We start from the raw sequence: 20,484 nt of genomic DNA, 5'->3' as shown, positions 1-20,484 counted from the left end.
TTACCATCCAGATACTGGGACTATATATTTCCCAAGGACAAAATAAAATATAGGACAGATTGAAAAATTCGAGATTATCAGTAAGCTCTAGGGAAACTAGCATATGGTGGGTATCCTTTGATAAATATGCTAAATATGTATTTACATGATAAACTGACTAGTGAAATTAGATAGATGCCTTTGAGAGTTATCACCAGAATTCAGCAAGTCCTTTGGTACACTGACAAGTGGAGGAGAATTCTACAGGCAGTAGATGGGTTCTTGCCAGTATTTGGAATACGCCCCTTCTCTTACTGTAGCTGGAAGCAACGATTAAGAAAAGAACCAGTGAATAAAAGATAGGCTCTTTTATTCACTGTCAGTGGGAGTGAAACTTGGCAACTCTTTAAGAAGCCAATTTAACAATACCTATCAAAACTGCAAACCATATGCCCTTTGACCCAACAATTCTGTAACTAGTAATTTACCTTACGGATATACTTATATTGCAGCATTGTTTGTAATAGCAAAAATTAGAAACCACCCAAATGTTTGTTAATAAGAGAATGATTTCATAACTTGTAAACACATTCAATTCTATATTATGCAATAAAAAAGAATGAAGAAAATTTTTATTTGCAGATATAAAAAGAAACCCAAGATATGTTTTTCTTTTCTTTTTTTCTTTTTTTTGAAATGGAGTCTCGCTCTGTCGCCCAAGCTGGAGTGCAGTGGTGCAATCTTGGTTCACTGCAACCCCTGCCTCCTGGGTTCAAGTGATTCTCCTGCCTCAGCCTCCAGAGTAGCTGGGACTCAGGCTCATGCCACCACGCCTGGCTAATTTTTGTATTTTTAGTATAGACGGGGTTTTACCATGTTGGCCAGGCTGGTCTCAAACTCCTGACCTCAAGTGATCCGCCCACCTTGACCTCACCAAAGTACTGGGATTATAGGCATGAGCCACCGCGCCCGGCCCCCAAGATATGTTTTTCAACAAGATGTAAAGCTATGGTATGGTATGACTGCACTTGTGTGAATGAGACAAAGGAAAGGTGTATTACCTGGGATGTATGCAAAATATTTTTATGTGTATATATACCAAACAACTATTAACTATGGTTAATTCTGAGGAGCGAGTGTTATGAAAAATAAAAAGGAAAACCATTTTTCTTTTAATACTTTAAAAAACCATATATATTACTTTAATTTTAAAAACAACTTATACTTTTTTTGTTTTTCTTTATAATGGTAATCAAAAAAATTTTTTTTTTAAAGAAAGAAGGAATTCTCTTTTCCTTCTACTGCAGCTTAGAAGGCATCTTGAAAAGCTATTGCTATTTGGCAGCTCACACTGTGGCCATTATTCCCTTGACAGAAGCACCTTTGGACACCCATGGGGTTCCAGAAATCCCATCGTTATGCTGGAGTGATTAGATCAGAACCACTGGGTTTGCGTCTAAAACACCTGTGAGGTAAACCGCTCTTATTCTCTAAGCCAGTGTGAGAGTGGAGGGATAAAATGGTAATTACTTTCCACTCTCATCGCCAGTAATTTTGTTTAAAAAACCTGTTTGCCTTAAATTCACCTAAAAAAATACTCGTGACTATGTAATTGAGGTCACAAATCTTCATTTCTAATTGTTATAAATTTATTAAAGACTATAAATGTTGTCTCTCTCATAAAACACCTGTTCTTTCCATAATTAACAATTTCCACTTGAGCATATACATTTAAAGTAATACTGTTACAACAAGAATATGAAAACCTGGCCGGGTATGGTAGCTCATGCTTGTAATACCCCGCACTTTGGGAGGCTGAGACGGGCGGATCACCTAAGGTCATGATTTGAGAACATCCTGGCCAACATGGTGAAACCCTGTCTCTACAAAAAATACAAAAAATTAGCCAGGTGTGGTGGTGGGTGCCTGTAATCCCAGCTACTCGGGAGACTGAGGCAGGAGAATCGCTTGAACCTGGGAGGCCGAGGTTGCAGTGAGCTGAGATTGTGCCATTGCACTCCAGTCGGGGCAACAAGAGCAAAACTCTGTCTCAAAAAAAGAAAACCTAACAGGTATTATTTCCTGTGATAGCCTTTCTTATTTGAAAGTCAGCATGTAATATATATTTGTGAAAAAGCACTTACTATAAAAAAAGGATGAAATGTACAATTATGAAGGAATCCTACACTTAAATTTGTTACAATAAATGCATCATACAAAAACATTTTCAGGTTTTTCATTTTAAAGGAATATAAAACTAGTTGCTAGAAAGAATCACAGTACAGTCATGTTGAACACACGCTATGCAAGTATGTAATTATGAATCATAGTTAGAAAATAAGTCATTTACGAGAACAGTAAGCTGATTTTTATCATTAACTGAATCTTCATTTTGAGTTCTTACACAACATCCAAGTGTTAGGGAGGAGAAATAATTCTCAAACTATTTCTCTCCTGACGTATGCTCAAATTGAAACAACATCTTTTGCTAAGGCTGAACCCAGTACCTTACATGTGTCATTTAAACCCTCTCAGGGAAGTTTTAGGATGGCTGTGCAAAACCACTGCGATGTAACTGAAGGAGCAAAATCTTCACGTCTGCACTTTGACCTACCTGGGCTGGCCTTGAGACCACCTGATATAATCCATGTGTGAAATCATTCTCCTGCTTTAGTATATAAGGCTGTGTGACACTTACCACCATGGATCAGAATTACTTTATTTTTCGGCTGGGCGAGGTGGCTCACGCCAGCAATCCCAGCACTTTGGGAGGCTGAGGCTGGCGGATCACTTGAGGTCAGGAGTTGAAGACCAGCCTGGCCAACATGGTGAAACCCCATCTCTACTAAAATATAAAAATTAGCCAGGCGTGGTGGCGGGTGCCTGTAATCCCAGTCACTCGGGTGGCTGAGGCAGAAGAATCACTTGAACCCCGGGAGGCGGAGGTTGCAGTGAGTGGAGATCACGCCACTGCACTCCAGCCTGGGTGACAGAGTGAGACTCCGTCTCAAAAACAAACAAACAAACAAACAAAGAATTACTTTATCTTTTATGCTTTTTTTTTTTTTTTTTTTTTTTTTAATAGAGACAGTGTCTGTGTTGCCCACGCTGGTCTGGAACTCCTGGGCTCAAGCAATCCTCCCGCCTCGCCTCCCCAAGTGCTAGAATTACAGGTGTGAGCCCCATGCCCAGCCTATTTTTTAATGTTTTAAAAATATATATATATAATGACCAGCATGATTTTCTTCATATTGCTGACAGAGGAGAGCAAAGTAAGTTGACTCTAAACAACAGGGGTTTGAACTGCGCAGGCTTGCTTATACGCGGATTCTTTTCAACCAAATGCTGATGGAAAACAGCATTGGTGGGATAGGAACCCTGTGTGTATGGAGGGCCAGCATTTCACATTCACAGCTTGGGCAGGGTCAACTGCAAGACTTGTGTATGTGCGGATTTGACGTTGTGCGGGGGCGGGGGGGGCGGAGGGGCCGGGGAGGTGTGGGGGGCGGGGGAGGTGTGGGGGCGGGGGATGGGGGGATGGGGAGGGGCGGGGGGCCCTAGGGGGTGGGGAGAGGCGGGGTGGGGAGCGGGTGGGGGGTGGCGGTGGGTGGAGAGGGCGGGGGAAGTGGGGGGAGGGGGGCGGGGGGGTGCGCGGTGTCCTGGGACTCATCCCTGTTACCCGCCTACCCTAAGGCCACGCACACCCAGGGACTGCTAGAATTCAATGAAGCAGGAGTTCTCAACACACGGTCACCCGTGAGCGTGTTACAGCTAATTCTTGGACCACATTCTAGACCTACGGAGTCAGAAATAGTGTGGGGCTCAGCAATCTGTATTTTAACAATCCTTAAAGCTTGAGAAACACTTCTGTTTAGGAATACTTTAAGTGTGGGACTAAGTACCATGAAATATCTTGCCTTGCTTTTGTGTTATCTCTGATCTTATAATGAAAGTATATTTACTCAATATATTTACACACTTCTGAGTGATTATTTTGAAAAGTCAGCTTCCTAGGCTGCTTGCATCAGAATCACATGGAAGATGTGTTAGAATCCAGATTCCCTGATCTCTCTGAAAGCAGGGCCTGGAAATCGGCATGTGAAACACATATCCTAACACATTTTCACATACACAGATGTTCCCGCTCCAGCGCTGTGGAGTTATTGAGACAGGTTCTTATTCTATCTTCTTATATTTTTGTTTTGGCATTTTCTTATTGTCTCTGCTGTTTCTCTGCCATCATCACTGTTATCCTTGGGAAAGAGCAGGCGATGTTGACTGATAGTGGTGGAACTGGGGAAGGTGATAATACAAGTAATACAATTTTTGCGAATTTGTTTTATCTACTTAAAACGGCTCTCTCCAGACCAATTTGCATGAAAAACAGGAAGCTGACTAAATTGAAAGAAAATGCTAAATCTTCAGGTTGCACCTTCATATCAAGAAAAATTCTATTAGGTACACACACAAGTAGGTAAAAACAGCAGGAGGCTAGTGAGGAGGTTGTGCAGTGGCCTCCCACACCTCCCACACATCTGCTTCTGCTTTTGTGCTGTACTCTCGGAGAGCTCCTACTGACCCAAATACCAATCCGGTGGACTCTTAATGTCTTTTTTTTTTTTTTTTTTTTTTTTTTTTTGAGACAGGGTGTCACTCTGTTGCCCAGGCTGGAGTGCAGTGGCCAGATCTCCGCTCACTGCAACCTCCACCTCCTGGGTTTAAGCAGTTCTCGTGCCTCAGCTTCCCGAGTAGCTGGGATTACAGGCACACTCCACCATGCCTGGCTAATTTTTGTACTTTTAGTAGAGTCAGGGCTTCACCATGTTGGCCAGGCTGGTCTTGAACTCCTGACCTCAAGTGATTTGCCTGCCTTGCCTCTCAAAGTTCTGGGATTACAGGCGTGAGCCACCGCACCCAGCAAGATCCAACTTTTGAACCAACACTTCATCTTGAGATTCTTACATTCCTTGCTGGTTTTAATTTCTTTCGTCCTTTAGCACCTTTCCAGCCTTTCTTATAGCCCCCTTCTCTTTGTCCACTGCTTGTATACTGCTTTTCATTGCGCTTTTTTCCTTGGCTGTCTTTCTCACCAATCTTTTTCTGTCTCTGCCTCTCTCTTTTCCCATGTCCCCATTTTCTCTCTTCACAGATTATTGAATATTTACTATGGGTCAGGCACACTTCTAAGTACATTACATAAAATAACTCAGTTAATTTTCACAACCTCATAATTGCAGGAACTGAAACAGAGAAGTTAATTTGCCTAAGATCACATGGCTAGCTAGTAATGGAGCTATGATCCAGACGCTAGCATTTTGGCTCCAGAGCCTATGCTCTTAATCATTACATACCTTCTTTTCTTAGTCTACAAGCCCATTTGACTGAGCTTATCCATTTTTTTTTTTTAGCTTCAACTTCTAACTATAAGCTCATTTGATATCTCTAATTCCAATCATGCCTGTCATCTGAGTTCGTCATCCCTGATGCTCACTGGACAACTTTACTAGTATTTCCCCATAGGGTATTAAACAGTTGATATTCCCACAACTGAACTCACTGTCTTTCTTGCCTTTAGCTTACAGTGTCTCCATTCTCCTTGTCACCAATGCAAGAAAACTGGGAGCCATCCTACAGTTATTTTGTCCAGTGTACTCTACCTCCTGATCATTTTTGTTTCATTTCTGTTCCTTTCTCTTCTTCCCTTCTGCCACCACAACTACACTTTGGGATTATAGTAAATATTTTTCTCATTCTTTTGAGCAAAGGATTAGTTTTTACCTTATGATATTGTGAGTCTTAACTGATGAGGTTCTCTTCTTTGAATTACCTACTCTGATGCATGGAGTCACATGTGAAAGCTACCTATTAAAAAAAAACTATAGAAACCTGGCTGGATATGGTGGCTCACACCTGTAATCCTAGCACTTTGGGAGGCTGAGGTGGGCAGACCACTTGAGCTCAGGAGTTTAAAACCAGCCTGAGCAACATGGCAAAACCCAGTCTCTACAAAAAAAAAAAAAAAAAAAAAAAAAATTAGCTGGGCTTCGTGTCGCACACCTATAGTCTCAGAAACTTACTTGGGAGGCTGAGGTGGCAGGAACGCTTGAGCTCGGGAGGTCAAGGCTGCAGTGAGCTGAGATCTTGCCACTGCACTCCAGCCTGGGCGACTGAGTGAGACCCTGTCTCAAAAACAAGAAAAAAAAAATAGAAACGTATGCAATAATTTTCTGAACAAAGTTCTCTCTTGCTACTATCGTATTCCCTTAGGCTCATTTTAAAAAACTTGCTTTCAATTCTATTTTATATTACTCTACCCACAATAAACTACTTGCAGTTCCCTCAAATTTGCCAATGTGTGTGTGAGTGTGTATGTGTGTGTACATACCTGGACCATTGCCCATGCTGGAATGCCCTTTCTCGCCTCGCCTACTTGACAAATATCTATATTTTCCAAATCTCAATTCAAGATCATTTTATTCTTGAAATTATTAATGATACCTAACTTATGCCACCTCAATATGCCACGTACACTTTTTAATTTTTAACACCTATTGCCCTGATTTGCTTAAATATTTCTGTCCCTTCTGAAGTGTAATTTCTGTGAGATCAGAGACTGTATCTCATCTTTCCATTTTCAGTGGCCTAATAAAGCTGCATCTTTAGAAGTGGCTCATGGAATGATTCTACAAATAATAACTGTCATCCTTATGGAGCAGGTACCAGATGACAATAAACAGGCCAAACTGCAATGACATCTCAGCAAAGCCCACATATACCACTTATATATTTGGGAGATTTTCATAGTTTTGAAATGCTTTTGAATCTTTTTAAAGCCCTGTTTCTCTGCAATAGTAATAATAATAAAAAAAAAACTCTCAAAACAAGTATGCGTTACATGCTGGTTCCAAGAAGGAGGGAAGCTGGGGCAAACCACATCCTGCTTTCAAAGGAACCAACAAAGACCATGAGTAAAGCATGAGCTGAGGCTGATGAAGTGCACCTGTCCTGTGACAGTTCATGAGCAGTCAGCCTCTCATGAAAGTGGCAAGTTCTCTGTATTTTTACATAGCCAAGTCAGGCATTTCTAGGCTCATCTGTGGGACGAGGACACAATAGAGCAGGAAATGGCTTTGATGCTCCCAGTTTTAGTTTCCTAGGGCTGCTGTAACAAGACACCACAAACTGGGTTGCTTAAACATCTGTATTTGTTTCACGGTTGTGGAGGCTGGGAGTCTAAAATCAGCGTTGGTAGGGTTGGTTCCTTTTGGAGGCCCTAAGGGAGAAACTGACCTGGGCCGCTCCCCTAGCTTCTGGTGCTTGCTGACATTTTTGGCATTGCTTGGCTTGCAGCTGCAACCCTCCAATCTCTGTCTCCATCATCAAATGGCCCTGTCTCTGTGTATGTCTAAATTTTCCCCTTGTTTAAACTTTTAATTTTAGGTTTGTGGGGTACATGGGAAGGTTTGTTACATAGGTAAACCAATGTCATGGGAGTTTGTTGTATGCATTATTTTATCATCCAAGTGTTAGGCCAAGTACCCAATAGTTACCTTTTCTGCTTCTTTCCCTCCTGATGCCCTCCCCACTTAAGTAGGTCCCAGTGTCTTTTGTTTCCTTCTTTGTGTTCGTAGTTCTTATCATTTAGCTCCTACTTATAAGTGAGAACATATTGTATTTGGTTTTCTGTTCCTCCATTAGTTTGCTAAGGATAATAGTCTCCAGCTCCATCCATGTTCCCGCAAAAGACATGATCTTGTTCTTTTTTTATAGCTGCATAGTATTCCCTGGTATATAAGTATCACATTCTCTTTATCCAATCTGTCATTGATGGTCATTTGGGTTGATTCTATATCTTTGCTATTGTGAATAGTGCTGCAATAAACATTTGCATGTGTGTGTCTTTATGGTAGAATGATTTATATTCTTCTGGATATATATGGGATTGCTGGGTAGAATGGTAGTTCTGCTTTTAGCTCTTTGAGGAATTGCCATGCTGCTTTTCACAAGGGTTGAACGAATTTACACTCCTACCAGTAGTGTATACTGATTGTCAGAATGTTCATACCTCTTTCCGTAAATATACTCTAATGCAGTATAACCTCATCTTAACTTGATTATATCACCGAGGCTCTTATTTGTTTCCAAATAAGGTCCCATTTGTAGGTTTTAGGGGTTCAGACTTGAGCAAATCTTTTTGGGGATACTGTTCAACCCACAATGCCCCACCACACTTTAAATCTCCTTGGACCACAAGGTCAGCATATAGGCTTTTCCACTGCTTTGTTGGAGGTGGTGGTGAGAGTGGCAAAAGGTGACCATGACCTGAGAATCTTGGGGTTCTGGGTCATGAGTCATCTCCCCATCTACCTGCTTTTAGATGGATGAGGCTAAAAAGCATTATTTATTTACTTTTATTGTTTAAGGTTTCTGAAAATATATTTGAAGTAAACACATATTTTGAATGTAATAATTTAAATTATTCTAAATCATATGTTTGCTATATAAAGCATTAGAATCAAAAGTTTATATCCTTTTTAGTTTTTTTTGTTTCTTTTCTTTTCATTTTTTTTTTTTTTTTTAGAGATGGTTTCTTGCTATATTGCCAAGGCTGGTCTCAAACTCCTGAACTCAAGTGATCCTCCTGCCTTTGTCTCCTAAGTAGCTGAGATTACAGGTGTGAGCCTCCATGCTTGCCTCCTTTTTAGATTTTTAAATTATTTATTTATTTATTTAGTAGAGATGGGATTTCACTATGTTGGCCAGGCTGGTCTCAAACTCCTGACCTCAAGTGATCTGCCCGCCTTGGCCTCCCAAAGTGCTGGAATTACAGTCATGAGCCACTACACCTGGCCTGATTTTTAAAGAATTTAAATGATGTCTCAAATAATTTAACCACTAGAAAATTAAATCAATGTGCCAAAAATCATATTTCAAAAAATAATAAAAATAAAGGAGAAAATGCAATAGATAAACTGAAGAATTAGAAAATAATAGAGCAAGAGGGCTCTTAAAGATTTTTGTTTAGGTCAATAAATCCTGCCTTCCTCAGTGTGTAAAGTGAGACCCATTTAAACATTTTTTTCCAAAGTTACCCAGCTAATTAGTGGGCACAATTTAGACTATATTTCAAGTTTTTTTTTTTTTTTTAGATGGAGTTTTGTTCTTGTTGCCTAGGCTGGAGTGCAATGGTGAGATCTCAGCTCACTGCAACCTCTGCCTCCTGGGTTCAAGTGATTCCCTTGCCTCAGCCTGCCAAGTAGCTGGGATTACAGGCGCACATCACCATGCCCGGTTAATTTTTTGTATTTTTAGTAGAGACGGGGTTTCACCATGGCCCGGCTGGTCTTGAGCTCCTGACCTCAGGTGATCCGCCTACCTTGGACTCTCAGAGTGCTGGGATTACAGGTGTGAGCCACTGTGCCCGGCCTATGTTTCAAGTTTTTAAACTTCTATGTTGTTATTCTTTTCACTATATCACAGTACATTTTGGTCTTTACTATTAGACATTCTGATGGATCATGTCAAGGTTTTTTCTTTTTGCTTTTCTTAGAGAAAGTCAACTTGCAAAAGGAATAGGTTCTGAATTTCCTGGTGTGTATTTAGGTTAGTAGGTAGGATTAAGCATACATTTTATTGGAGGGGCATGATGGCTCACACCTGTGATCCCAGCACTTTGGGAAGCTGAGGTGGGCAGATCACGAGATCAAGAGATTGAGACCATCATGGCCAACATGGTGAAACCCCATCTCTACTAAAAATACAAAAATTAGTTAGGCATGGTGGTGCGCGCTGTAGTCCCAGCTACTCGGGAGGCTGAAGCAGGAGAATCACTTGAACCCGGGAGGTGGAGGTTGTAGTGAGTGGAGATCATGTCACTGCACTCCAGCCTGGTGACAGAAAAAGACTCCGCCTCAGAAAAAAAAACAACAAAAAAAGTAAGACTTCCTGATAATAAAAGAAGGTGTTATTAATAATTATGTTAGGTCAACAGGTATAAATTGGGAAGGCTTTGGGCAAACAGTCAAAAGTAGCACCCTATAAGTCAATGTCATAATGAATAAAAATGCTTCTGGGTTGTCCTTACGTTGTTTATTTGTAAATATTTTGAATATGTATGTCAATTTTACTGCATTATATAACCTAACAATCCAAAAATAGGCTTTTTAATGATCGTCTTCTGGAAAATCCTGTAATTCCTTTGAGAATGGAAGGAAAGAAAGCTCCAAATTCCTGATTGAGAGTAATTGATTTATTAAATAGGTGTTTATTGCTTACTAAATATCAGGCATTGTTCTAGGAGGTTGAGATGTGGTAATAAAGAAACAGACAAAAACCTCTATGTTTCTGAGGCTTAGATTTCAGTAATGAAACAAAGGTGATCTTACTGACCTATACAGTTAGTAAGATTTGGGTTTTGCATCGCTTTTTTCAATAATGCTGATAGAGGAATTACTGAAGCATCCTCATTCTTAGGCCAAACCAGATTCCTTGCTGACCTGTGCCATGTATTATAAAGCAGTAGATTGAGATGTGATTAGGGATACAACTGAGGTCATAGCAGAGATAGTTTTTGTGTGTGTATCTCAGCAATGTGGAAACTATGCCTATGGCCTTGAACTCTCTAGTCCTATAGTCTGATCCAGTGAGCTGATGAGTTTACAACAAAGTAAATTCATTTGTTTAGCCCAAGGGAAACATTTGCCAATTTTACAGTTGGATAATTCCTTTAAAAAATACATTAGTAGTTATTTCAGTATTAAGATTTCCCATAAATTAAATCTGTGTAGATTTCCAGCTGAGTTAGAATTTTACCAAAATGATAGAATTCTACTAATTACTATGTTAAGTAAATCCTCATCCTCTCTGTAAATAGCATAGGTGGTAATTTACCCTTCTGTAGATGTATAAATTAAGCCACCAGGAGGTTAAGTAATTTGCTCAAGGCCACAGTGTGTGGTAGGTTAGAAATTGAATTTAAAAGCCTTGATGCCTAATTTTTTTTACATCAGATAATTTCTTTCCCACATTTAGATGTATAAATTAACTGATGTCTATACATAAAAAACTTCATCTATAAATAGTAGGCAATATTTGTAATAATTCATCTACCTAATTATCATAACATTGATATTGATGTAATATTAACAGTGCTGTGGTTCATCCCAGGAAGAGCTATTGAATGACTATTTTATCTTAATGATTTTCAAGAACAGCAGACCTCAGGGAGATGGACGAGTTTTAGGTCAAGAAACATTTACATTCCGAAACTTATTCAGGCATTTCAGCTTGTAAGAAAAAATTTAATTGAATTTTTCTTGTTAAGTTTTATTCTCCTCTTAGGCCTACTCTAGGCAAGAGTGTCCTGTGAGTGGCTTTTCTGGGCTATGCAGAATGCCTGGTAGTCTACTTTCTGACACTTGATGAGGTCTCAAGATTTGGGAGTTAGGTATATGAAACAAGTTTTCGCTCTTCTGTATTTTTTATTTTTATTTTTTTGAGACGGAGTTTTGCTCTTGTTTCCCAGGCTGGGGTGCAATGGTGCAATCTCTGCTCACTGCAACCTCCGCCTCCCAGGTTCAAACGATTCTCCTGCCTCAGCCTCCCCAGTAGCTGGGATTACAGGCACATGCCACCATGCCCCGCTAATTTTGTATTTTTAGTGGAGACGGGGTTTCTTCATGTTGGTCAGGCTGGTCTCGAACTCCCGACCTCAGGTGATCCGCCTGCTGCAGCCTCAAAAAGTGCTGGTTTACGCCTCTAATCTCAGCACTTGGGGATGCCAAGGAGGGTGGATAGCTTGAGTCAGGAGTTCGAGACCAGCCTGGTCAACATGGCAAAACCCTGTCTCTACAAAAAATACAAAAATTAGCTAGGCATGGTGGCCTGCACCTGTAGTCCCAGCTACTCTGGAGGCTGATGGGGAGGATCACTTGCGCCCAGGATGTCGAGGCTGCAGTGAGCTGTGATCATGCCACCACGCTCCAGCTTGCATGACACAGCGAGACTGTCTCAAAAAAGAAAAAAAGAAGTTGTGATTTATATATTATTTGTACTCAGATATCCTTAAACTCATTTGTCTTTTATTACAAACATTCGGGTGAGTAGTCAGAAGAAAATTATTATTATTATTATTAATATTTTTTTGAGACAGAGTCTCGCTCTGTTGCCTAGGCTGGGGTGCAGTGGGCCCATCTCGGCTCACTGCAAGCTCCGCCTCCTGGATTCATGCCATTCTTCTGCCTCAGCCTCCTGAGTAGCTGGGACTACAAGCGCCCGCCACCATGCCGGGCTAATTTTTGTATTTCGTATTTTTTTAAATTTTGTATTTTTAGTAGAGATGGGGTTCCTTCATGTTCTCCAGCCTAAATCATGACTTGTAAATAATAAGTTTGCAATGATTTTTCTTGAGACCATAGGCCCAGAATAGCAGTGTGTAAATATAATATCTCAGACCAAACAAAAAAGTTCCAAACACCAAACAAAGCAAAACTCACACAGGCACGATTTATTCCACATACAGGCATACCTCATTTTATTTCATTTCACTTTATTGTGCCTTTTTTTTTTCCTGTTTGACACGGAATCTTGCTCTGTCACCCACGCTGTAGTGTAGTGGTTTGATCTTGGCTTACTGTAACCTCCACCTCCTGGGTTCAAGCGATTCTACTGCCTCAGCCTCCCAAGCAGCTGGGATTACAGGCCTGTGCCACCAGGCCCAGCTAATTTTTGTATTTTTAGTAGACACGGTGTTTCACCATGTTAGCCAGGCTAGTCTCGAACTCCTGACCTCAGATGATCCACCTGCCTCAGCCTCCCAAAGTGCTGGGATTACAGGCGTGAGCCACCGCGCCTGGCTTGTGCCTTGTATTTTTTACAAATTGGAGGTTTGTGGCAACCTTGAGCTGAGTATATTGGCAAAGTATATTGAAAGTATACAAGGCAAAGTATATTGAAAATCTTCTGGCAAAGTATATTGAAAATCTTCTGGGAAGCATTCACCATTCTAGATGCCATTTAGAGCGTTAGTGATTCACAGGAGAACATCAACATTAACAGGAGTTTGGTTGGATAGGAGGAGGTTGGATTCCAACTCTCATGAATGACTTTGAAGGTTTCAAGATTCAGTGGAGGAAGTAGGCACCATTTTCCCAACAGTATACGCTCACTTTGCATTTCTATGTCAAATTTTGGTAATTCTTGCAATACATCAAATTTTTTCATTATTACTATATCTGTTATAGTGATCTTTGATCAGTGCTCTTTTGTGTTACTATTGTAATTGTTTTGGTACATCAGGAACCACACCCATATATGAGGGTAAGCTTAATCAATAAGTCTTGTAGGTGTTCTGACTGCTCCACTGACTGGCCTTTTCCTTCCACTCTCTCTTTAGGCCTCCTCATTCTCTGTGACACAACAATGTTGAAATTAGACCAGTTATAGCCGGGTGCAGTGGCTCACACCTATAATCCCAGCACTTTGGGAGGCCGAAGCAGGTGGATCACTTGACATCAGGAGTTTGAGACCAGCCTGGCCAACATGGTGAAACCCTGTCTGTACTAAAAATAAAAAAACTAGTTGGGCATGGTGGCATGCACATAGTTCCAGCTATTCAGGAGGCTGAGGCAGGAGAATCGCTTGAACCCGGTAGGTGCAGGTTGCAGTGAGCTGAGATCCCGCCCCTCCACTCCAGCCTGGGTGATGGGAGTGAGACTCCATCTCAAAAAAAAAAAAAAAAAAAGAAAAAAGAAAAAAAAAAGAAAAGAAAAGAAAAAAGAAATTAGGCCAGTTAGTAATCCTATGATGGCCTCTAAGTGTTCAAGTACAAGGAAGAGTCATTCATCTTTGACTTTAAATCAAAAGCTAGAAATGTTTAAGGGTGGTGAGGAAGGCATGCCAAAAGTCAAGACAGGCCAAAAGCTAGACTTCTTGCTCCAAACAGTTAGCCAAGTTGTAAATTCAAAGGAGAAGTTCTTGAAGGAAATTAAAAGTGAAACTCCAGTGAACATATGAACGATAAGAAAGTCAAATAGCCTTATTGCTGACATGGAGAAAGTTTTAGTGGTCTTGACAGAAGATCAGCCACAACATTCTCTTAAGCCAAAGCCTAGTCCAGAGCAAGTGTCTCTCCTCAATTCTATGAAAGCTGAGAGAGGTAAAGAAGCTGAGAAAAAAAATGTTTGAAGTTAGTAGAGGTTGGTCCGTGAGGTTTAGGGAAAGAAACCATCTCCATAACATAAAAGTACAAGATGAGGCTGGGTGCGGTGGCTCACACCTGTAATCGCAGCACTTTGGGAGGCCGAGGTGGGCAGATCACCTGAGGTCAGGAGTTTGAGACTAGCCTGGCCAACATGGTGAAACCCCATCTCTACTAAAAATACAAAAATTAGCTGGATGTGGTGGCAGCCACCTGTAGTCCCAGCTACTCAGGAGGCTGAGTCTGGAGAATCGCTTGAACCTGGGAGATGGAGGTTGCAGTGAGCTGAGTGCACCATGCACTCCAGCCTGGGTTGCAGAGCAAGACTCCGTCTCAAAAAAAAAAAAAAAAAAAAGGTGAAGCAGCAGCAAGTGCCAAAGTAGAAGATGCACTAAGTTATCCAGAAGATCTAATTAAGATCAGTAATGGAAGTGGCTACACTAAACAACAGATTTTCAATGGCGACAGAACAGCCTTCTGTTGAAAGAAGATGGTGTCTGGGACTTTCATAACTAGACAGGAGTCAATGTCTGTCTTCAAAGTGTCAAAGGATAGGCTAACTTTCCTGTTAGGGTCTATTGCAGCTGGTGACTTTGAGTTGAAGACAATGCTCATTTGTCACTTTGAAAATTCTAAGCCCCTTAAGAATTATGCTAAATCAACTCTGCCTGTGCTCTATAAATGGATGACAGCACTTCTGTTTACAGCATGGTTTACTAAATATTTTAAGCCCAGTGATGAGATCTACTGCTCAGAAAAAAAGATTCCTTTCAAAATATTACTGCTTATTGATAATGCACCTGGTCACCCAAAAGGTCTGATGGAGATGTGCAGGACGACAAATGTTGTTTTCATGCATTCATTCTGCAGCCCATGGATCAAGAAGTAATTTCGACTTTCAAGTCTTACTCTTGAAGAAATACATTTTGTAAGACTATAGCTGCCATAGATGGTGACTCTTCTAATGGATCTGGGCAAAGTATATTGAAAACCTTCTGGGAAGGATTCACCATTCTAGATGCGATTAAGAGCATTGGTGATTAACGGGAGAATATCAACATTAACAGGAGTTTGGAAGAAGTTGATTCCCATCCCCATGAATGACTTCGAAGGTTTCAAGATTCAGTGAAGGAAGTAACTGTAGATGTGGTGGAAATAGCAAGAGAACTAGAATTATAAGTGGAGCCTGAAGACGGGACTGAATTGTTGCAATCTCATGATAAAACTTGAGCAAATCAAGAGCTGCTTCTTATGGATGAGCAAAGCAAGTGGTCTCTTGAGATAAAATCTATTCCTGGTGAAGATGTTGTGAACATTGTTGAGATGATGACAAAGGATTTAGAATAACCCATAAACTTAATTGATAAAGCAGCAGCAGGGTTTGAGAGGATTGAATCCAGTTTTGAAAGAAATTCTACTGAGACTAAAATGCTGTCAAACAGCATCGCATGCTACAGAGAAGTCTTTCATGAAAGGAAGAATCAATCTATGTGACAAACTTCATTATTGTCTTACTATGATTAGGTTGTCTTACAGCCACCCCAACCTTCAGCAACCACTGCTGACCATGTTGATCGGTCAGCAGCCATCAACATCAAGGCAAGACACTCCACCAGCAAAAGATGATGACTTGCTGAAGGCTCAGATGTTTCTTAGCATTTTTTAGCCATAATGTATTTTAAAATTAAGGTTTCTACTTTTTTTTTTAAAATACATAATGCTCTTGTACTCCGAATAGAACTGAAGTCCCACTGCTAAATTTGACTGGCTTAAAAAAATACACTACAGTATAGTGTAAACATAAATTTTATATACAGTGGGAAACCAAAATATTGTATGACTCCCTTTACTATAATATTCATTTTATTGGGGTAGTCTGGAACCAAACCGACAAGATCTCTGTATAATTTATTTGTATAGGAGAGAAAAACACACATTTGGAGTTCACATTGCTCAATATATTTCTCTAAACAAAATTCTGTCCAGTTGAAAACTTATTAGCCTTTTAAGAGAGTCTTGTTCTGCAGTTGATCCATACTCACAAATTTCATTGAATTCTTTGTAAAATCTGCACAAAAAATTACTAGAATCAGAATCTTAGAAATTATGCATATCTAAAGTAAATTTAATTTTTGGAGGGTGTTCATTTGGAAAGATCAGGGAGATTAAAGGAGAAAAATTATTACATACAAGAGGAAATAATCTTACTTTCTGGGTGAACTATTTTTCTGCATGATCAATTTCTCTTTTTAGGAGTTTGGCTAAAATGAATTATGAATTTTAGGCTTTAAGTAATATCCAGTTTGCTTTCAAATATCTCTCTCACACGCACACATATGCAGAGCACACTTTTAATTTTCAAGTCTTTATTAATGATTCCAACGCATGCAAGATATGAAAATATTTAGAAAAGGCTAGTAGAATATATGTTGTTTATTTTATGAACTACAGTAAGGCAGTTCATTAGCAAAATGTAAAAGCAAATAGAATACTATGAGACAAATGGGTCACCTTGGTACATCTAGAGAATTCTAAGAGGACAGAGTTAAATTTATCTGAATCTACTTTGTAATTGAAAAGTGTTATAATGCAATAAGAAAATATATCAACAAGTTGTAATTTCTCCTACCTTAAAAACAGCAAAAACAATAAAAAAAAAAAAAAAACCCAAAACCTCTCTTGACCCTATATTGATCCTGGTTTTTTTGTTCTCAATCTTCTTTGCTGGTTCTTTCCATTCTTTGTGACCTCTGAATATTGGTATGTTTTGTGGGCTCTTCTTTTCTCTAATTACACTTACTCCTTAGATGACCTCATCCAATACCATGATTTTAAATACACTCTATATGCTGACGGCTCCCAAATTTATATTTCCAGCCCAGCCCTCTCCCCTGAACTCTAGACTCATATATCCAACCTCTTACTGACAGTGCCACTTTTGTGTCTATCAACAGGTCCTGGTATTCCTCTCCATGCCCTCCCACCCCCAACTGCTTCCAGCCCCAAATCTGCTCCTCTTACAGTTTTTTCAATCTAAGTAAAAGGAAATTTTATTCTTCCAATTGCTTGAGTCATAAACCATGGTGTCATTTTGATTCTTGCCTCACAACCCACATTTAATCTATCAGTTAATTTTGTGGGCTCTACCATCAAAATATATCCATCCAGAGTGCAACCATTTTTCTCCTCCTTCACCTCTACTATGCAGATGCAGTCTGCTATTCTTTCTCTCCTGAATGAATGTAGTAGCTTTGCACTGGTCTCTACCTTAGTGCTAGTCTACTGAAGGTTCTTCGCAACCCAACAGGTAGAGAAATTCTTTTAAAATGAAACTCTGATGGATTGCAACATGCCTCTGTTTAAAACTTTTCAGTGACTTCTGTCTCAGAGTAAAAGCCAAGGTTCTTACAATGGCCCACAAGGCACTCTATGTGTGTCTCCCGGCCCCGCTCTGTCCTATGTCTTATAACTTCCTTCAAGTCTGCCATATTGGCTTCTTTTTGATAGAGACAGGAGGCAGGAGGGCAGGGTCCCTGGCGAGGGCTCCAACCTCAAGCCTGAACCCATGGCCCTAAATGAAAACAGGATACCTGTTTTTGTGCCCAACTGTTGCCTTTTGGCCTGCCATGCCCCTCTATCCCATACCCATATAAACTCCAAACCCTAGGCTCCACGAGCAGATGAGCAGAGGAGCAGAAGAGCAGCAGAGTGGCAGACTGGTGCAGCAGAGAAGGAGAGAATAGAAGGAGCATCTGAACACTGAGAGGAATTCAGCTGGGGATGCTCGAAGAGGAGATTGGCTGTAGGAAGGCTGAACTCCAGGGGAAGATCATTCTCCTATTCCATCCCCTTTCCAGCTCCCCATCCATCCCACTTAGAGCCACCTCCACCACTCAGTAAAATCCCCACATTCACCATTCCTCAAGTCCGTGTGACCTGATTCTGGACAAGGGCTCTGGTACCAAAAGTGTAAGGCATAAAAGGCTGCCACCCTAACTCTCCACTGAGCTGGTTTAAACACTCAGCTGTCTGTGGATGGCAGTGGCTAAAAGAGCATTAATTGTAACACACCCCTAAACGTTACTGTGAGGCCAGAGCCCAAAAGAGCTTGCCCTGGCTCCTGCACCTGGCCATCTGTGTGCTCCCTCTCCTATAAGAAAGCAAACAAGCCACACCCCTGTTGCAAGTCCCAAGCCATTTTCCTTTCTCCTTCCTGCCTGCCTTCCCTCCCTCCATCCCTCTTCCTTCTTCCTTTCCTTTCCTCTTTCTTCAGGATAGGAATGCTCTTGCCTCAGAGCTTTAGCAATAGCTGTTCCTTCTCCTGGAAGATCTACTTGGATTGTTTCTTTACTTCCTGCAGGTTTTACTCATGTGATAATGTATCTGTGAGCCCCCAACCTTCTCTGTCTTATCCTGCTTTATTTATTTATTTATTTATTTATTGACACAGTTTCACTCTGTCACTCAGGCTGGAGTGCAGTGATGTGATCTTGGCTCTCTGCAACCTCTGCCTCCCGGGTTCAAGCGATTCTTGTTCCTAACCTTCCCGAGTAGCTGGGATTACAGGCATGCACCACCACGCCTGGCTAATTTTTGTATTTTTAGTAGAGACGCGGTTTCACCACGTTAGCCAGGCTAGTCTTGAACTCCTGAGCTCAAGTGACATACTTGCCTCGGCCTCCCAAAGTGCTGGGATTGAGAGGTGACAGCCTGCTGGCAGCTCTCGCTCGCTCTCGGTGCCTCCTCGCCCTTGGCGCCCACTCTGGCCGCGCTTGAGGAGCCCTTCAGCCCGCTGCTGCACTGTGGGAGCTCCTTTCTGGGCTGGCCAAGGCCGGAGCCGGCTCCCTCAGCTTGCGGGGAGGTGTGGAGGGAGAGGCGCGGGAGGCAACCGGGGCTGCGCACTGTGCTTGCAGGCCAGCGCCAGCTCCGGGTGGGCGTGGGCTCGGCGGGCCCGCACTAGGCGCGGCCGGCGGGGCTCCCCGGTCAGTTCGGGCTTTAGCACCTGGGTCAGCAGCTGCTGCGCTCGATTTCTCGCCGGCCTTAGCTGCCTCCTCGCGGGGCAGGGCTGGGGACCTGCAGCCCGTCATGCCTGAGCCTCCCCCAACCCCCGCGTGCCGTGGGCTCCTGCCGGGCAGGAGCCTCCCCGACCAAGCGCCACCCCCTGCTCCAGGGCGCCCCGTCCCATCAACCGCCCAAGAGCTGAGGAGTGCGGGCCCATGGCAGCGCGGGACTGGCAGGCAGCTCCACCTGCGGCCCCAGTGTGAGATCCACTGGGTGAAGCCAGCTGGGCTCCTGAGTCTAGTGGGGACTTGGAGAACCTTTATCTCTAGCTGAGGGATTGTAAATACACCAATCGGCACTCTGTATCTAGCTCAAGGTTTGTAAACACACCAATCAGCACCCTGTGTCTAGCTCAGGGTTTGTAAATACACCAATCCACACTCTGTATCTAGCTAATCTAGTGGGGAGGTGGAGAACTTTTGTGTCTAGCTCAGGGATTGTAAACACACCAATTAGCACCCTGTCAAAATGGACCAATCAGCTCTCTGTAAAACAGACCAATCGGCTCTCTATATAATGGACCAATCAGCAGGATGTGGGTGGGGCCAGATAAGAGAATAAATGCCGGCTGCCCGAGCCAGCGGGGTTACTCCCTGTGGTCGTCTTCCACGTTGTGGAAGGTTTGTTGTTTCGCTTCTTGCAATAAATCTTGCTACTGCTTGCCGTTTGGGTTCAGGCTGCTTTTATGAGCTGTAACACTCACTGCAAAGGTGTGCAGCTTCACTGCTGAAGCCGTTGAGACCACGAATCCACCGGGTGGAACGAACAACTCCAGACGTGCCACCTTAAGAGTTGTAACACTCACCTCGAACGTCTGCAGCTTCACTCCTGAAGCCAGCAAGACCACGAACCCACCAGAAGGAAGAAACTCCGAACATATCCTAAAGTCAGAAGGAACAAATTCCGTATACGCTGCCTTTAAGAACTGTTAACACTCACCGTGAGGCTCCGCGGCTTCATTCTTGAAGTCAGTGGGACCAAGAACCCGCCAATTCCGGACCCAGGATTACAGGTGTGAGCCACTGCACTGTTTAATTTTTTATTATAGTGCTGTAGTGAGCCAAAATGCCGCAACAGTACTCCAGCCTGGGCAACAGAGTGAGACTTGGTCTCAAAAACAACAAAAAGTCAATTATGGTCAATTATAGTTTTACTTAACCAACTTTCTTTTATTTTTAAATTTTTATTTACTTATTTATTTGTGATAACGTCACGCTCTATTGCCCAGGCTGGAATGCCACAGTGTG

At 41.9% G+C, this 20,484-nt stretch overlaps 1 annotated feature.

Annotated features, from left to right (window-relative positions):
- Nucleotides 7,080-7,129: an enhancer, noted in NCBI's record as "active region_16888". NCBI's record gives its function as "activates an Ori minimal core promoter by ATAC-STARR-seq in GM12878 lymphoblastoid cells {active_cell/tissue: GM12878}" and the evidence as "EXISTENCE:reporter gene assay evidence [ECO:0000049][PMID:35858748]".

Source organism: Homo sapiens, chromosome 2, assembly GCF_000001405.40.
Source record: "Homo sapiens chromosome 2, GRCh38.p14 Primary Assembly".
In the NCBI taxonomy this organism is placed as follows: Eukaryota; Metazoa; Chordata; class Mammalia; order Primates; family Hominidae; genus Homo; species Homo sapiens.
This window is presented reverse-complemented; position numbering and strand designations above follow the sequence as displayed.